The following is an 18,292-nucleotide window of genomic DNA, read 5'->3' on the forward strand; positions in this document are numbered from 1 at the left end:
GGGCTTTGAGGCATAAAAGCCCCCCAACAGGCCAGGTTGGGCAGGCCTAGTCAGCTGAGGTGAGGAGGCAGCATGGGAAGGCCAGGCACTAGGAGGTGCAATGGGAGTGCAGGGCTCTTGTCGGGGAGACACTGGCCAGGCCCAGACCTTGGGAAGGACCCTGGGACCCAGGCTGAAGAGGATGCCACTACCATGGCAGCATGGGCAAGGTCACCTGCTACAGCAGGAAAGAGACCTTCAGAATTTTGATTCATATTATTGTTGTTTTTTTTTTTTGAGATGGAGTCTCGCTCTGTCGCCCAGGCTGGAATGCAATGGCATGATCTCGGCTCACTGCAACCTAAGCCTCCTGGGTTTAAGCCATTCTCTTGCCTCGGTCTCCCAAGTAGCTAGGACTACAGGCACGTGCCACCACACCCGGCTAGTCTTTGTATTTTTAGTAGAGACGGGGTTTCACCATGTTGGCCAGGCTAGTCTCGAACTCCTGACCTCAAGTGATCTGCCCACTTTGGCCTTCCGAAGTGCTGGGATTAGAGGCGTGAGCCACCGTACCTGGCCAGAATTTCAATTCATATTTAATCTCAGAAAATATTAGTTAAGGCCATCCCTTCTGAACGTCTGGCGGCCACCATGATAGGGCATCAGCAGGAGAGGTGGGCTGTGCTTCAGACCACCTCCCTGGTGGCAGCCAAGCAAGCACTCCTGAGAGTTTCCAGCCCACAGCTCACTGCGGGGTCTCTCAGTATGCCTGATGTAATCCAAGCACAAAGAGAAGGACAAGCAGGTCCCTTTGTGAACTTCCCTAATGTGCCAGAGCTGGGGAGAGGAGTGAGGAGAAGAAGGAGCCAAGTGGGCCACAGCTACCTGTGTGGAACTCTCACTGCTGCAGGCTCCTCCCTACAGCACTGGCACAGTTCTGCTCACTTCTCTGAGGGGTACAGCCTTGAGGGCAGGCTCTGGTGGCTCACACGCCCTGGATATCCCAGCCCAGATCTGCAATGACATCCTTCAAGTCAACTTTCCAAAGAGAGCCTGCTTGTAAGGAAAAAGACGTCACTCCCATGGCAGCTCAGTTGAGAGATTTGGGAGACTACGTCAGAGGTAACTGAAAACATGTATGCTGTGACAGACTACTAAAAGTAGGGGAAAAGCATAAAAACCTCAAACACCCTACTTACTAGACCACCTAAAAAATACTGTTGCTCCATTATTTTTAAAAACGCCTCACCCAGGAAATCACAGATGAACAGTTCAGCTGCGCAACTATCAAAGAAAAGGCCACTCCCACAGCACAGTGGCCCACAGGTGCGTCCAGAGCCCACCAGCCCGCATAAGGCACAGTGCACTGCTCTGGATCCCTTCTCTCTCGCTGGGTCGGCTCAGGCTAAGACGCTGAGCAGGAGGAGTAGGCGGGGCCACCTGCTCCAGGGCCAGGACTCTCGAGTGCAGGAGATGTCTCTGCCTAAGTGGCTGCTCTCTAGAGACCCTGGCAGCCCCACTCACCCAGTGTGGGAGGTAGCAGATGCCCTCATCAGCCACAAACTCCAGCACGCCACAATGCGTCATGCGGTCCGAATTCTTATTGGTCAGTTTGAACAGCATGGGATAGGTAATGTTAAGTCGGCCTGAAAATAAGAGAGAGACTATGAGGCACAGCTCCTATGAAGGGACACCTGTTCGGCCCACGCCTTCCCATAGAAGGAGCCTCCCCACAATCCTGCCCTCAACCCCACACTCCTCTGGCAGATGAATCCCCCTCTGTGAGAGCACAGTGCACGGCTCAAGGAGGAACCTGGCAACTTGGTAACACAGCACTGGCATAGACTTGTGATTTTCTGAAGTCAACATTTTAAAAAGTGATGTGTTCATTCATTTATTCATAAATAATTTCAGTGCCCACCATGCCCTGGACAAAATCCCGACCTTCAAAGGTTTCTAGTTTGAAGGTAGAAACCTTCCAACAAAGAAAACCACAACCAGATGCTGCAGGTGCTGTGGGAAGAGCTGGCAGGAGGGGGCAGAGCTACTGGGCTAGGCTCCTAGAGGCCGAGTTCTTTAGGCTGGGCACTGGGCGGGCAGACCTGGGAGGAAATCCAGGCAGAGGTGGCAGCCTGAGCAAAGGCGTGGAAGGGAAGAGGAGCCCAGGCAGTTCAGAAATGGTGGATAATTAGGCAAGACAGGCTGGGGACAGGTGTGCGAGTGGTTGGGAAGGGGAGGGGCACCACACGGGGTAGAACCTAGGGCCTGGGCCCAGCGGGCAGTGTGAGCTCTCAGCAGGGTCATGACATAGGACGCCCCCTCTCTCTGATGGACCTTGAGGTGTGGGCTGAAAGCAAGGCCAGAGGCAAGTAAGCTGGACTGGTGACGTGCTGACCCAAGAGGTGCACAGGCACATAAAGGAAGGGCTGGCAAAAAGAGGCAGGAAAACCCAGGAGACACTGGGCCCCCGGGAGAAGACCGAGAAGGAACTGATGGTAGTGATGGTGTTTGCCATGTGTAAGGCCCTTGTTCAGTCTTCCCAGAACAGTCAGGTAGGTACTATCATTATCCCCTTTTATCTATGGGGAAACTAAGGCCCACAGGTTAAGTAACAGCACACAAGTGGTGAGCACACAAGACCTCACAGCACACAAGTGGTGATGCCAGGATTCAAACCAAGGCTGCTGGCTTAAGTCCAGGGATTCAACCATCAAAGCAGAATTTAGCTTGTTAGTTCAGACAAATATTCCAATAAAAATCACACTTAGTGTTAGGAAGTAACGCAGATTCCATTTGAGATCTCCCTAAAAATTCTAATAAAGCAAATCAAGTTAAAAGCTTGGGCAGGAAGCTACAGAGAACCTCTGAGAGTAGCATGGAGGTACAGTAAGGGTGGGCACTCCCTCCTATCACCAAGGGTGACTCTCACACTGGCAGTAAAGGGGCCAGGACCTCTGTCCCGGTCCACCTCTCAGCTGCACAGCCATGGAGCTGACATACAGCTGGTCCACAGTAAACTGGACTGGGCTCAGCCAAGGGTCTGAGATTGTTGCAAGTGAAAGAGACTCCAATGTCCCTCAGTCCACTGACTCTCAAACTGCATTTTGTGACTTAGAGGCTCCCAGTGCCCTGGGGCTCCCAGTCCCTCTGTACCCCCTCACTTTCTCCAAAAAAAGCAGAGAACCTCATTTTATGAATTAGAGGACTTCCTATAAGATTTAGACAGAAAGAGTTTCTCCCATCACTTAAAAGATTTGAACAACACTGATCTGAGCTACACCTCAATGACCCAGCCCCTGAGTCTCTTCTGGACACCTGTGCCAAGGGTCACCCCTGGTGTCTGGCTCCTGGGTCAGCATGACTTGAAAGGAAGACCTTTTTAGGGAGCCTGTTCTCTCCTCTGTAATGACAGGGTCTTCGTGAGAACTGTGAACTCCATAGCTCTGTTGACCTACTGGTTGAGCTGAGGCCTCCACTGGGTATAGCCACAGCCAGTGCTGGCTCAGGGGCTACCTCCACCTTGTGGTTGGAATCGGATAGCTTAGGTTGTCACAGACACTACAGTACTTCTGATGCACAGACACTGTAGATATCCCCAATTAAAGAAGAGGACATTGAGGTTCAGAGAGGTCAAGTTGCTACTCTGGAGTCAGGCTGGGCAAAGAGCCCGAGGTGAGTCACACCACAGCCAGCACCTGTTCTCTGCTTGCTGCCACCAGAGGCCCCCAAAACCAAGCATGAACCTGTCCTCCTGGCCAACCCCAGTCTCCTGCCTCACACAGGAAGAATTCACACCAGAAACACTCTTTAAGTCTGGAAGGCAATGACTGCATCCTTGATTGGGTTGTCCATGATAGGGATTTTCTGTGCCTGTGTAGTATGGGGCTAGGGCATGGGTTTCCAGGTTGCTCTCATGGGATAAGGGGTCAGAGAAAAGGGAGGAAGAATGTGGCCACTCTTAGAACCCCTGTGGGCCTATCTCACTCCTGGTAAGAGGCAGGAGCCCAGCAAGAGGAGTGGCTTCTGGATGGAAGACAATAGCTCAGTTTTTGACATGCTGAGGATGCATTGGTGCACTGGAGATTAGAAACGGGGGTCTGGGCCGGGCATGGTGGTTCACGCCTATAATCCCATAACTTTGGGAGGCCGAGGCAGGCAGGTCACCTGAGGTCAGGAGTTCAAGACCAGCCTGCCCAACATGGCGGAACCCCATCTCTACTAAAAATACAAAAAATTAGCCGGGCGTGGTGGCGGGTGCCTGTAATCCCAGCTACTCGGGAGGCTGAGGCAGGAGGATCACTTGAACCTGGGAGGCAGAGGTTGCAGTGAGCCAAGATTGCGCCACTGCACTCCAGCCTGGGCGCTAAGAGCAAAACTCTGTCTCAAAAAATAAATAAATAAATAAATAAAAGAAAAGAAATGGGGGTCTGGAGCTCAGGAAAGATGTTTGGTGAGGGGATGAGGAACCTGCTCACAGCGCCCTCTTGTGAGCTGACCAATTCTTCCTTTAGGAAAAAAATCTAGTGAGCCCAGCCAATGGCATCAGCTGCCCTGGCACGGTACAAAGCACTTGATACTTGTACCTTCACTTAATCCTGACAGAATACTGAGAACAGTTGGGGGGTGGGTGGAGGTGGTGATCAGGAAGGGAAAGGGAACCCCCTTCACAGAGGAGGAACCTGAAGCACCCAGGGCAGTGATGAAGCTGAGGTTCAGGGGGCCCTGGCCTCGCCCTAGGTACCTGTGACCCAGGTTCTCCCAGCCCAGCGCATGCCCTCCACGGACAATTCACAACCAGATGCTGACAAAGGGCACTGGTGTCTGGATGTACTGAGGAGCCCATGCTGACTCTTGGTGTCCATATGTACATTATCTAAGTCCTTAAGTCACTCAGAAGATACTTACTGAGTTGGTCCAGGGCCGAGGGTGGCATAATTACTGTGGAAAGAACATTTAAGAAATATTAAAAAATAAAAATAAAAAGGACAGACCAAAGGCAAGATGCAGTTTCTTTATATCTAACAAAAAGCCTTAAACTGTTTTTAGGGTAGCCAGAATGTCCCAGTGATCTTTCATGAAGAATCTTACTTGATGTAATTTATTTTGGGAACTGAATGGTTATCAGCCATAAACCTAACCATAATTAGCACCCCACCCCAACAGAGCAAGTCAGGGATAAATCCCAGCACCATTTTCACAGTAACACTAGCTTCTGACTCCCACATGCAAAGTAAGTACTGTTGAAGGCTACAGCATTGCAGACTTAGGGCAGGAAAAGTTACTATTCAAATAAAAACAAGCACATACTCTTCCCTCCTTTCTCCACATCTGACCTGTCATTAGGCCCTGCTAGCATGGACACAGAGAAGCAGCGGTACTGTGTGGAGAAGCGGTTTTGGAAGACCCTGGGAATAGGGTGGTCGAACATGTTGAAAGAGAACTAGAAGGAGGAAAGAGAAACAAGTATTAAAACAAAGGTACATTTCTTCATGTCAAAAGCCAAAACATGTCAGAGTAATTAATGCTACTAAACATTGTCAGAGAACACAATGTACTGAAATCTTCAATGTAATCTTACTAAATACAAAACAGGCCATGCCAAGCCTGTCCTGAACCTTTTTCAGGGCTATGCTCCCATCTTCATCCTCAGGATCAAGGCCCAACCTCTTGCATACCTCAGAGACTTGTACTGACAGCCCCACAGACTCCTGCCTGGGCTAGTTCCTCTGCCTTGAACACTTTTCCTATTATCATTAATCTAAACAATATTTGTTAATTGAAACATCTCTTTATTGAGTGCCTACTGTCTGCCAGGCTCTGATATGAGCACAAGGGAAGCACCACTCCAGTGATGTCTGTCCACTAACAAAATAGATACCACCCCTGTCCTGGTGAAAATGACACTCAAAGCAAGAGAGATATACACTCCAAGCAACGGACACACACACATGTGTGTCTGGCAGTTCTGAAGACAAGCAGCAGGGTAAGTAGACACAGGGCTCCTGGGAATGCTATTTTAAATAGGTGGTTAGGAAGGGACTCTGCACAAAGACCTGAATGCTATGAGAGGGAGCCAGGCAAAAAAGAGGGAAAGACATTCCAGGCAGCAGGAAGAACAGGTACCCAGTGGTTGCACCCCTTCCCCTGGGTTCCAATTACCATCCTTTCCTTTCCCCAGGAAGCCTCTCTTGCTCTGCTGAGGGTCAGGTCTAGTGCCTCTCCAGCGTGCTCTCACAGCACAAAGTAGGTACACGTTACACTATGTTATGATGCTTTCTTACAGCAACAAGCAAAGCTAAAACATGATGCCATTAAAAAGATAAGATCCTAGATCTTAAACTGTAGACTAAGATGAGGCTTAGCAAACATGTATCAATTTGAAGGTTTTCTCAAAGTACAGTATTCCTCCCACCCCCCACCCCCATATCCACAGGGGATACATTCCAACATCCCCAGTGGACGCCTGAAACCACAGATAATACTGAAATCTATACATACTATGTTTTTTCTTATACATATCTACAATTTTCTTATACATATCTACAATAAAGTTTAATTTATAGGCTGGGTGCGGTGGCTCACGCCTATAATCCCAGCACTTTGGGAGGCAGAGGCAGGTGGATTACCTGAGGTCAGGAGTTTGAGACCAGCCTGGCCAACATAGTGAAACCCTCTCTCTACTAAAAATACAAAAATTAGCCGGGCGTGGTGGTACACGCCTGTAATCCCAGCTACTCAGGAGGCTGAGGCAGAAGAATCGCTTGAACCCAGGAGGTGGAAGTTGCAGTGAGCCGAGATCGTGCCACTGCACTCCAGCCTGGGCAACAGAGCAAGACTCCATCTCAAAAAAAAAAAAAAAAAAAAGTTTAATTTATAAATTAGGCACAGTAAGAGATTAACAATTAATAATAAAACAATTACAACAATATACTGTAATAAAAGTTATGTGAATGTGGTTTCTATTTTAATATTTTTGGACCATGGTTGACCTCGGGTAACTGAAACCACCTAAAATCTCACAGGAGGATATATATTCAAAAGAACTGGAGGCAGAATCAAGAAGAGATTTTTGTACACCCCGTATTCATAGCACAATTATTCATAATAGCTAAAAGGTGGAAGCAACTCAAGTGTCCAATGACAGATGAATGAATAAACAAATTGTGGTATGGTATATACATACAATGAAATATTATTCAGCTTTTAAAAGGAAAGAAATCCTGTCACATGGATGAACCTTGAGGATATCATGCCAAGTGAAGTAAGTCAGTCATAAAAGGACTTATATTTTATGAGTCCGCTTCTAGGAAGTACCTAGAGTAGGCAAATTCATGGAGACAAAGTGGAACAGAGATTGACAGGGGCTGTGAGGAGCAGAAAATGGAGAGCTATTGTTTAATGTGAGTAGAGTTTCACTTTTGCAAGATGAAAAAGTTCTGAAAATCTGTTGCTCGTGAATGTACTCAACACTATTGAACTATAGACTGAAAAACGGTTAAGATGATAAAAATTTGGTTTTTTTAACCACAACTAAAAAAAAATCTGTATTAGAGAAAATTTCTTGACTTGATTCCAAATATATATTTAGTAGAAGGAATGCCACCTACTGACAAAGCAGTTTACTAGCAACTCCAAAATTAGCAAGCTGAATTAGCCATCTCCCAAAATGCAAACATAGCATGTTCCCGCCTAAAATCTGGGATGGTTCTTTACTCCCTGGCACTCTAACACAGTAATTTCCAATCTTTTGTCTTTCTTCTTTTAAGCAGCATAACTGTTCAGCTAAATCTTGGCCAGAACCATAACACAGGAAATAGCGTTTCTGGGTGAACAAGGCCAGAACAGGGTAGGGGCTTGCTTCCCTTGAGTGCTTCTCACTAGCCAACCTATGTAAGCCATTTCTTCTCTTTGAATATAAAAGGTAAATCCGCACAAAGGGGCAACATACTTAACAACCTGCCTGCAGTTTACCCATGAACCCGACCTTCTGCCCCTTCTTTGCTGCTCCCGATCCCATCTCTCACTTTCCTTTTCAATCCCGAGACCTAGCACACTGCCTGGAACATATCAGGTATTCTTGAGTGGATGAACTCAAGAATAGAAATAAGCCAGGGTTTGACAGTGACACACTTGGGATAAAATCTAACAATCATTCCTTGTCTTTACTAAAATAAACAGGTGACAGGAAGACAATACCGTAGAGTGCTTTGCAGCCAGACAGACTTGGCTTCAACTCTCCAGTCCCTACTTCTGTGACTCGAATAAAGTACCTCTGTAAACGTTAGTTTTCTCATGTTTAAAATCATCATCATCCTTGCTTCCAAAGGGATTGTAGGGATTAAAAGAAATAAGCCGCGATGAGGGAGTACAGGTGTTAAAAGCTGTGTAACAGGAAATGTACCAGCAGGTATTAGCTTCCATCGTTATCATTACCGAACACAACACCGCTGTACAGATTCGAAGGCACGAACCCGTAGGCACGGAGCTCACGGAGCTGGGGCAAGAGCTGGGTGTCCCCCAAGAGCGGGGGATGCCCACTACGGATTCTCCCTGGGGAGCGCCCTGATTCTGTTCCCATCCCCAGCAACCTTGCAACTAACTTTGGGTTTATGGAAACCTGTTGCGCGTCCAGCACTTGGGAAACCCGTGAATGGACACAAACCTTCCTTTCTTTCGTCAAGGAGGGCAAGTCCGGCTGAGACAGAATGCGAGCCACGTTCAGGACCGGCGGACGCGACCACAGGCGGTTAGTGGTCAAGGGTCCTGCTTGTGCCCGGTGCGGCCGATGAGCCTGCAGGCCGGACTCAGGCCCGGGTGACTCGGCACCTCCGCCGCCGTCCCGCCCCGCCCTGCCCCGCCGGGCCCTACCTCAGGCCCCGGGCCAAGGCCCAGCCCCCGCCCGCTGCCCGTCAGCGCTTACCATGATGGACACCACCTGGCAGACTCCGCTCCTCTCAGGCAATGCAACGAAGAAACCCCGCCGACCGCTCTCCCAGCCGCCGCTGCCGCTGCCGCCGCGCCAAGCCGGTACGCCCCAGAGGCTCACCGGAAGTGCCGGACCCGAGACCCGGAGGGGGGGTGCCCGGGACAAAGCGTCGGCTGCAAAAGAGAAAAGGCCAGGCGAAGACGCTAGGCTCTAAAACACCCTCAGTAGAAGCATTAAAATGCCCTTTCGTGATTTATTTCCCCTTTTATAGGTATTTTTAAACGTTATTTTAAATTACGTGTTGACAGTATTCCCCTCCAGACGAATTTAGTAGGGCCCATTGTCCTTACGACTACACTACCCACAATGCACTACCCAGACTGCCTCTGCTTCAGCCATCGAGGACTCGGGCGGAACTAAGCTACAAATCCTTCTTCAAACCACACCAAAAACCTATTGCAAACGTAAATGCTGCCCCATTGGGTATGTGACTGAGTTTAATGTATGGTTAGAAGTATACTTTCCCTGAGGGTTCCCAGTGGGAGGCAGTAGGCTTCTCTTCCCAAAGTAAAGATGTCCGCCCAGCGTCGCTTTTCTGGGTAAAAGCGAGTCAGAGTTGAAGGGGGCAACAGTGTTTGCGTTCGGCCTCAGAGGTGACGCTTCTTTGGGGGCGGGCTGGAGTTTTCTGGCCGTGAATGGCAGAGCGCTAATGGCCGCCTCCAATGTGGCCCAATCAGAAAGAAAGGAAGGCTGGGAACTAAGAAGCTATTGGTTGGTGATCCCTGGACCAATCGGAGGAGCCGTGATTTGGCGGGAGTCTTGACCGCCGCCGGGCTCTTGGTACCTCAGCGCGAGCGCCAGGCGTCCGGCCGCCGTGGCTATGTTCGTGTCCGATTTCCGCAAAGAGTTCTACGAGGTGGTCCAGAGCCAGGTGACGCCCAGTCCGGGACCCCCGCCGAGGCCTTGCCGGTGGGGAAGGGATGAGGGGGAGCGACCGTGGGTGACCGGGAGGCAGGGGAGGGCCGGGGTTCGGGTCGCCGTGTTCAGCCGGTCTGCTCTTCCCCGATAGAGGGTCCTTCTCTTCGTGGCCTCGGACGTGGATGCTCTGTGTGCGTGCAAGATCCTTCAGGTGAGTTCTGCGGACCCTAGGAGGGCGGGGCCGGCGCGCGAGGTGAGGGTGCTGCGTGGGGGCGCAGGGCGGGCAGAGTGTCAGGATGGGTGCTGAGGGCTTAGGGTGGGAGAGGGAGCAGGGCAGGAGGTGAACAGCAAGTGAGAGGAGAGAGACTCGGAGGAGAGGTTGCCTCCCTGTCCCAACGGTGTGGGGTGGGATAAAGGATTAAGTAAAAGGTAAAGAGACTAGTTTGTATTTTTGCAATAAGCTATTAATATTAATAGGTGAACACAGCAGTTGCATTTGGGGGAAACTTTGGATCTGTCGTGGCCTCTCAAATGGGGGATTTGAGAGAGAGGAATCTGTGACAACTGTGGGTATAGTCGTGTCACAGGTGTTGCTGGGAATATGGGAGCCCCTAGTCTATTAGGGAAGATCGTTAGTTTGGTTTTGAATAGGGCATAGTATTTACGTTGTTTTGGTCAGGCCCTTGGATCAGGAACTTTTCAGAAGGCCTGGAAGTTAAATCGGCATTTCTCCCCGATGTTTTACTTTGGTAATTTGCAAAATTCACAGAATGGTATGGTAAACGCTCATATCCCTAGCACCTAGCTTTTCCCGTAAGCATTTCACTAGCTTTAATGTTATCCCGTGTCTTTTGTCTCTCAACCCGTCTAATCTTCCTCAGTTTCTTTTCAAGGTAAATTGCTAATGTCCTAAATAAGATAGGCTTTGAAAACACTCTCTCTCCAGGCCTTGTTCCAGTGTGACCACGTGCAATATACGCTGGTTCCAGTTTCTGGGTGGCAAGAACTTGAAACTGCATTTCTTGAGCATAAAGAACAGGTATTGAAGATGCGTTTTAGAATAACGTGGCTTTTTACTCAATTGTAATTTCTTGACACAGCATTCTATTTCCACGATAGATTAAGCGTGTATTTAAGTATCAGCTACATTAGGCAATATGGAAGAGAAAAACATGCTGTATTTACTGGTGACTTACCACGCCCAAGTTGTAGAAGCAAAATTGACAGCAAAAAAAGATAATGAATGTGGATAGCCCCAACTTTGAACTTGTTTTAACTTGTTTTGCAGAAATTTGATTGTAAGGTGCTTGGAATCTAGCAGTTTTTAATATGGTCTAGTTAAAATTATTTTATTTTATTTTGGTTTATTTTTTTATTTTTTATTTTTTTTGAAACGGAGTCTCGCTGTGTCGCCCAGGCTGGAGTGCAGTGGCACGATCTCGGCTCACTGCAAGCTGTGTCTCCTGGGTTCATGCCATTCTTCTGCCTCAGCCTCCTGAGTAGCTGGGACTACAGGCACCCGCCACCACACCTGGCTAATGTTTTTGTATTTTTAGTAGAGACGGAGTTTCACCATGTTAGTCAGGATGGTCTTGATCTCCTGACTTTGTGATCTGCCCACCTCCGAAAGTGCTGGGATTACAGGTATGAGCCACCACGCCCAGCCTTTATTTATTTATTTTTGAGACGGAACCTCGCTTTGTCACTCAGGCTGGAGTGTCATGGTGCAATCTTGGCTCACTGCAACCTCCGCCTTCTGGGTTCAAGCGATTCTCCTGCCTCAGCCTCCTAACTAGCTGGGATTACAAGTGCCCACCACCACGCCTGGCTAATTTTTGTATTTCTAGTAGAGACGGGGTTTCGCCACATTGGCCAGGCTGGTCTCGAACTCCTGACCTCAAGTGATCCGCCTGCCTCAGCCTCCCAAAGTGCTGGAATTAGTTAAAATTATTTTAGAATACACTACTATTTTATGTTATTTCTCTGAGAAAATGCATCCTGGTTTCCAACTTAAAATCCAGGAATAAATTTAAACAATAGATGCCAGGATTCCTCCCACCTCTGCATGGGGCCAAATGAGAGATGGGACATTGTACACCCCACAGAGAGGGGATGGGACATGGAAGAGGGTCCCTGGAGTCCCTAGCCATATCTAGGATTGTTTTGGCAGAGACAAATCCTCTCCTGATGTTCCTGTTATTATGTCAAGGACCCGCACCAGCTTGGTATTTATAAGGAAAGAAAGTGCTATAGTGATAGAGTGTGATAAAGGACTTAATATTTAAGTACCCATAAAGTATTTGCTAAAAACTTAAACCTGTACGATGCCATTAGCCTGGAGAGGCACGCAGCATAGTACTGTGAGGTCTGGAGAGACCCAATCACGTGCTCGAAGTCTTGGTCTGCTCCTCATTAGTTTCTTGAGCCTGTCCACGAGACTTGGGCTTGCTGAGTCTCAGCGTGCTCCTGGGGAAAACTGGGAGCCCCAGGGCCCACCCTGCTGTGTCACCATGCTAAAGCACTTAGCATGCCAGCCTGGCCATTTTTTGGAGTCCCTTGCCACGTGGGCCTCGCCACATGTCAGGGACTGAGTGAGTTTAAGCAGAACAACTCAGAGGCTTAGTGATGAAGGAAAAGGGGCCTCCTCGATATAGCTACTTTACAATATCTTCCTTTTTTTCAGTTTCATTATTTTATTCTCATAAACTGTGGAGCTAATGTAGACCTATTGGATATTCTTCAACCTGATGAAGACACTATATTCTTTGTGTGTGACACCCATAGGCCAGTCAATGTCGTCAATGTATACAACGATACCCAGGTACTTTTTGTGCTATGCCCTCAAACTGTCTGTACTTTTTATGCCATGTACAATGTCTCACCTGGTGTTCTTGGTAAGGTGTGTGTCTGACTACCCTGTGGGACTGGGAACAGCCTGAACACAAGAACTTGGTCTTTGTCATCTTTTTTTTTTTTTTTTAAGGAGAGTCTGGAGTACACTGGCACAATCATGGCTCACTGCAGCCTCAAACTCCTGGGTTCAACTGACCCTTCCTGCCTCAGCCTCCTTAGTAGGTGGGACTACAGGCACATGCCACCACGCCCAGCAAATATTTGTTTTTATTTTTGTTGAAATGGAGTCTTGGCTGGGCGCGGTGGCTCACGCCTGTAATCCCAGCACTTTGGGAGGCCGAGGCAGGCGGATTACGAGGTCAGAAGATTGAGACCATCCTGGCTAACATGGTGAAACCCCGTCTCTACTAAAAATACAAAAAATTAGCCAGGCATAGTGTTGGACGCTTGTAGTCCCAGCTACTCAGGAGGCTGAGGCAGGAGAATGGCATGAACCCAGGAGGCAGAGCTTGCAGTGAGCCGAGATCGTGCCACTGCACTCCAGCTTGGGCGACAGAGCGAGACTCCGTCTCCAAAAAAAAAAGAAAAGAAAAATCAGCCTGGAGTTGCTTTCAGACAGGAGTTTTAGTCACCACTTAGGGGTTACACATCTTCATGTCCTATATCAGACAGAGGCCAAGTTGTGGGGCGTTCATTTTATTGGTGTATGACGTAAGAGGATGCTGTGTTTCCAGACTTAAGTAGACTAGATGGTTCTCAAAGAACTGTTTTCAGATTTTCATAATTTCTGCATACCACGTATGGTGTAACTCTGGTGCCTCACTGGTAATGAAAACAAGAAAATTCCTTAGAAGCCTGGAACTCTTGTTAAATAGGTAGCTATTTGTATGAACAGGAAACTGAGTCAGCTTATTAGGAAATGATAAGATTCTGCAGAAGAACATATTGTATAGTTTTCCGTAGAAAGAGGAGAGGCTTAATTCCTTTTTGTTTTGAACTTAGATCAAATTACTCATTAAACAAGATGATGACCTTGAAGTTCCCGCCTATGAAGACATCTTCAGGGATGAAGAGGAGGATGAAGAGCATTCAGGAAATGACAGTGATGGGTCAGAGCCTTCTGAGAAGCGCACACGGTTAGAAGAGGTGAGTTTGGGTCTCTCACAGCTATCCCAGAGGAACTTGCACTCCCAGAGGTCGGAGGTCATCCTGAAGCCTGCCAGGCCAAGGTGTACTGAGGGCAGTGGGAAGTGGAAAAGTTAGCAGGCATGGATGCTGACCCTGGGCTCTGCTGTCCCCTGGTTATGTGGCCTCAGGCAGGTTACTGGACTTCCCTAAATAGTGGCTTATCTGTCCAATAGGATCCTGTCAGAAGAAATGAAATTTAGGACAGCTCAGCTCTGCGGCTAGATAGCAAAAAAATAATGTAGAGAAGCAATAAATAGTGTAACCCCCACCCCTTCCTTTTCTACTGTCTTCTAGCATCACTTACTATGCAGTCACTGCAGAGGAGCAATGTGGGTCTGCATCCCTTGGCCAGGCCCAGTCCCAGACAATTACTGCAGGGGAGGTATCTTGTATGTGAAGATACCAGTGGTTTTCACCATGTGGACCTTGGGTCTGAGCTGCTTAGTGATCTGGGGCTGGGCCCAGTGGCCTACCCAACACTACGGCTTCTGCAAGATGTAAAATGACAGGCAGAAGGTGGTTGTTCCCATAGCACGGAGGGCCACGTGATGCTTTTGAAGATGGCCTCTGGCTCCTGATCTTGGTGTGTGACCTAGAATTTGCCCCCGTAATGTTCTAGGGTCTTCCCTTCATCCTCAGCCTGACATTTCCCGGTAATGTGCTTTTGGGAAGCCTTTTTGAGCCATATTTGAGATGTTCAAGACATTCTTCATTTGGGGAAGGGGCAATGCCCTTCAAACTGAGGCATGCTTCTCTCTTCTTTCTCACCTTTGTCACCCCTTTCACTAGGTTTGGGTGTCTCATAGGGAACCTCTTGGACCCACTGTTATATTTTCTTACCTCTTGCCCAGCTCTTTGTTCTATTTTTTGGAAGACTTTTTGTTTTTTGTTTTTTTTTTGTTTTTTCCCCAGACGGGGTCTCTCTCTGTTTCCCAGGCTGGCCTCAAACTTCGGGCTCACTCGATCTTCCCACTTCAGCCTCCCAAGTAGCTGAGACTAAGCACATGCCACTACACTCAGCTTGGTCTTTATCTTCTAATCTTTGGTTTGTGAGGGGTCCTTTTTGTTCTCTGAATTTTTTTTTATATAGCATTCTTTTAACTATCGATGAGCTGCATTTCATTGGTTCCCAAATGTCAGTATCCAATGGGATTTCCCGGGAAACATTCATGTTCTACAGATAAGTCTTGGAATTTTCCACTCTGACTAATAAACAAATATTTTTTAAGCACTTACTATGTGCCAGGTACCAGTTAGGCCCTGGGGTGCGGGTATGAGAGCAAAGTCCTGCCTTTGCAAAGCTTTCCATTGGGGGAGACAGATACTGATCATGTAAATGAGCACAATTAGGGAAAGCTTTCAGGTATCAAACATGAGTTAGCAGGGGATGGAGCCAAGAGGATTCCTGGGCAGAGCATCCATAGACACTGCAGCTCTGAGGTGGGAAGGAAAGTTTCAAGGAAGGCTTGGCCAGCAGTGCCAAAGGAACAGGCAAATGAGAACAGACCAGTGGGTTTGGCAATAAAGAGAAGGTAGGTTGTCTTGATGAGATACAGGAAAATAATCAGCGTTTCCTTTTACATACTTAACACATCAATTTGGAATTTGTGTTTGTAAATGTTTAACATAATATTCATGGATTATAATAGGCATAATTTCCCACCAACTTTTTATTTTGAAATTTTTTGAAATGTATACAGTGGTTGAAAGGATAGTACAGTGAATATCCATGTACCTTCAATCTAGAGTCAACAGTGGATCATGACTGTAGGTGGTCTCAGCTACTTGGGAGGCCAAGGCAGGAGGATTGATGAAGCCCAGGAATTTGAGAACAGCCTGGGCAACATGAAGAGAACCTGTCTCAAAAAAAACAAAAACAGTTTTTCACATTTGCCACATTTGCTTTCTTTCTGTGTATTCTTTTTTCTGTATTATTTGAGAATAGATTGCAGAAACTGATATTCTTTTTTATTTTTTATTTTGTTTTTTCTTGAGATGGAGTCTCACTCTGTCACTGAGGCTGGGGTGCAGTGGCACGATCTCGGCTCCCTTCAACCTCTGTCTTCTGGGTTCAAGCGATTCGCCTGCCTCAGCCTCCCAAGTAGCTAGGATTACAGGCATGCACTGCCACAGCCAGCCAGAAACCATGATATTCTACACATTCTTTCATAAGCAGCTCCTAAGAATAAGGACATTCTTCCCCATAAACACAATGCCATTGTCATACATAAGAAATTAATAATATCCTAATATCATGTAATATTCAGCCCATATTCAGGTCTCTTTAATTGTCCTCAAAATATATTTTGCAGCTATTTTTATTTCTGAACTATTCTCCAATCAAGATTAAGACATTTAGCTATTCCTCTTTACTGTCTTAACCTAGAACCATACCTTACCTCTTTTTTTTCTTTTGTTTTTAATGACATTGAAGGCCAGTTCTCTTTTCTAATATTTACTACTACTTGTTTCTTCATGGAGTACTTTAACTTGCTTCTCTATCCCTGCATTTTCTATGATCTGTAAATTAGGTCTAGAGCGTTGATTTTAATAACATTAAGCATTCTTGAGAAGAATACTTTTTATATAATTAAAACCTGTGCATGATTTATAACTAAGTATGTGTATATTAGAGGTATATATATATTTTTTTGAGACGGAGTCTCGCTCTGTCGCCCAGGCTGGAGTGCAGTGGTACGATCTCGGCTCACTGCAAGCTCCTGGGTTCATGCCATTCTCCTGCCTCAGACTCCCAAGTAGCTGGGACTACAGGTGCCTGCCACCACGCCCAGCTAATTTTTTATATTTTTAGTAGAGACGGGGTTTCACCGTGTTAGCCAGGATGGTCTCGATCTCCTGACCTCATGATCCTCCCACCTTGGCCTCCCAAAGTGCTGGGATTACAGGCGTGAGCCACCGTGCCCGGCTGCTTTTTAGAGGTATATTCTTAGAAATATTTTTACCAGCCTGGTGTGGTGGCTCAAGCCTGTAATCCCAACACTTTGGGAGGCCAAGGCGGGTGAATCACCTGAGGTCAGGAGTTTGAGACCAGCCTGACCAACATGGAGAAACCCTGTCTCTACTAAATACAAAAATTAGCCAGGAGCAATGGCAGATGCCGGTAATCCCAGCTACTCGAGAGGCTGAGGCAGGAGAATTGCTTGAACCTGGGAGGCGGAGGTTGTAGTGGGCCAAGATCACGCCACTGCACTCCAGCCTGGGCGACAGAGCAATACTCTTGTCTCAAAAAAAAAAAAAAAAAAAGAAATATTTATACCAGACTGGACAACATAGCAAGACACTGTCTCTACAGAAAAATAAAATAAAAATTAGCCAGGCATGGTAGCATGGTCACATAGGCCCGGCTACTTGGGAGGCTAGAGTGGGAGGATGCCTTGAGACCAGGAGGTTGGTTGAGGCTGCAGTGATCCATGATCACATCACTGCACTCCAGCCTGGGCAACAGAGCAGGACCTCATCTCTTAAAAAGAAAAGAATGAAATATTTTTATTAATAAGGGTGCACATTCAAAGAGGTTTAGAGACAATAGGTTATAAATAATTGTTTTAAGGAGTTCTGCTATAGGCCGGGCGTGGTGGCTCACGCCTGTAATCCCAGCACTTTGGGAGGCCGAGGTGGGTGGATCACGAGGTCAGGAGATTGAGACCATCCTGCTAACACGGTGAAACCCCATCTCTACTAAAAATACAAAAAATTTCCCGGGCATGGTGGCAGGAGCCTGTAGTCCCAGCTACTCAGAAGGCTGAGGCAGGAGGATGGTGTGAATCCAGGAAGCAGAGCCTGCAGTGAGCTGAGATCCACCACTGCACTCCAGCCTGGGCAACAGAGCAAGACTCCGTCTCAAAAAAAAAAAAAAAAAAAAAAGAGTTCTGCTGTAAAGAAAAGAGGAGACATGGGGTCGAGAATCATTTTTACTTGTCTTTTAAAGGTTGGATGTTAGAGCTGGACCCCAGCAAAGATGAGAGTCCGCTATAAAAATAACCATAATTATACTTAATCTACAGGTGCTATAATATCGTGGCTCAGGTCACGGGTTTCAAATTTTGTATCTGCTATAACAGCTTTGTGACTGTAGGCAAGTGACTTAACCTCTGTGTGCCATTGTAAAATAAGGAGAATAACTAGACTTAATTGTTTTGGTTCCTACTGATGTTTAACAAATTACTCCAGAACCTAGCAGCTTAAAACAACCTTTTCCTTATGCTCATGGATTCTGTAGGTTAGGAATTTGGGCAGAGCCCAGTGAGGATGACATCTTTTTGATCTGTGATATCTGGGCCCTCAGGTGGGGACTCAATGGCTAAGAACTGGAAGCATGGCTCAGACATCTGCTGGGAGGGCTCCAAACCAGGACTACTGAGCCAAGCACCTGCAGGGTCTCTCCATTGAATGTGACTTCCTTACAAC

General features: G+C 47.3%; 2 protein-coding genes across 18 annotated transcripts in view, besides 3 other annotated features; one reads left to right on the forward strand and one right to left on the reverse strand.

Moving 5' to 3' along the window:
• The window catches only part of UFD1 (ubiquitin recognition factor in ER associated degradation 1), a 29,283-nt gene extending 20,273 nt beyond the window's left edge, over positions 1 to 9,010 (reverse strand). For 2 of the 6 annotated variants that reach the window (NM_001035247.3, NM_005659.7), the window contains exons 1-4: positions 8,900 to 9,010; positions 5,287 to 5,419; positions 4,885 to 4,917; positions 1,504 to 1,625 (exon numbers count right to left, since the gene is read on the reverse strand). In NM_001035247.3, the coding sequence (NP_001030324.2) occupies positions 1,504 to 1,625; positions 4,885 to 4,917; positions 5,287 to 5,419; positions 8,900 to 8,902 (291 nt within the window). In that variant the 5' untranslated portion in view covers positions 8,903 to 9,010. Of the gene's footprint in view, positions 1 to 1,503; positions 1,626 to 4,884; positions 4,918 to 5,286; positions 5,421 to 8,641 lie in introns of those variants that run through there. The other 4 variants (NM_001362910.2, XM_047441487.1, XM_047441486.1 and 1 more) reach the window with 4 other exon arrangements.
• Positions 8,777 to 8,846: a silencer, noted in NCBI's record as "silent region_13462". NCBI's record gives its function as "represses an Ori minimal core promoter by ATAC-STARR-seq in GM12878 lymphoblastoid cells {active_cell/tissue: GM12878}" and the evidence as "EXISTENCE:reporter gene assay evidence [ECO:0000049][PMID:35858748]".
• Positions 9,247 to 9,546: an enhancer, noted in NCBI's record as "active region_18660". NCBI's record gives its function as "activates an Ori minimal core promoter by ATAC-STARR-seq in GM12878 lymphoblastoid cells {active_cell/tissue: GM12878}" and the evidence as "EXISTENCE:reporter gene assay evidence [ECO:0000049][PMID:35858748]".
• CDC45 (cell division cycle 45) overlaps positions 9,283 to 18,292 on the forward strand; it is a 41,147-nt gene continuing 32,137 nt past the window's right edge. For 4 of the 12 annotated variants that reach the window (XM_047441534.1, XM_047441531.1, XM_047441532.1 and 1 more), the window contains exons 1-6: positions 9,283 to 9,388; positions 9,643 to 9,836; positions 9,975 to 10,034; positions 10,770 to 10,862; positions 12,507 to 12,644; positions 13,679 to 13,822. In XM_047441534.1, the coding sequence (XP_047297490.1) occupies positions 9,786 to 9,836; positions 9,975 to 10,034; positions 10,770 to 10,862; positions 12,507 to 12,644; positions 13,679 to 13,822 (486 nt within the window). In that variant the 5' untranslated portion in view covers positions 9,283 to 9,388; positions 9,643 to 9,785. Of the gene's footprint in view, positions 9,389 to 9,642; positions 9,837 to 9,974; positions 10,035 to 10,769; positions 10,863 to 12,506; positions 12,645 to 13,678; positions 13,823 to 18,292 lie in introns of those variants that run through there. The other 8 variants (XM_011530417.4, XM_011530418.4, XM_011530416.2 and 5 more) reach the window with 5 other exon arrangements.
• Positions 9,637 to 9,686: a silencer, noted in NCBI's record as "silent region_13463". NCBI's record gives its function as "represses an Ori minimal core promoter by ATAC-STARR-seq in GM12878 lymphoblastoid cells {active_cell/tissue: GM12878}" and the evidence as "EXISTENCE:reporter gene assay evidence [ECO:0000049][PMID:35858748]".

This window comes from Homo sapiens, chromosome 22 (assembly GCF_000001405.40).
Source record: "Homo sapiens chromosome 22, GRCh38.p14 Primary Assembly".
Classification (NCBI taxonomy): Eukaryota; Metazoa; Chordata; class Mammalia; order Primates; family Hominidae; genus Homo; species Homo sapiens.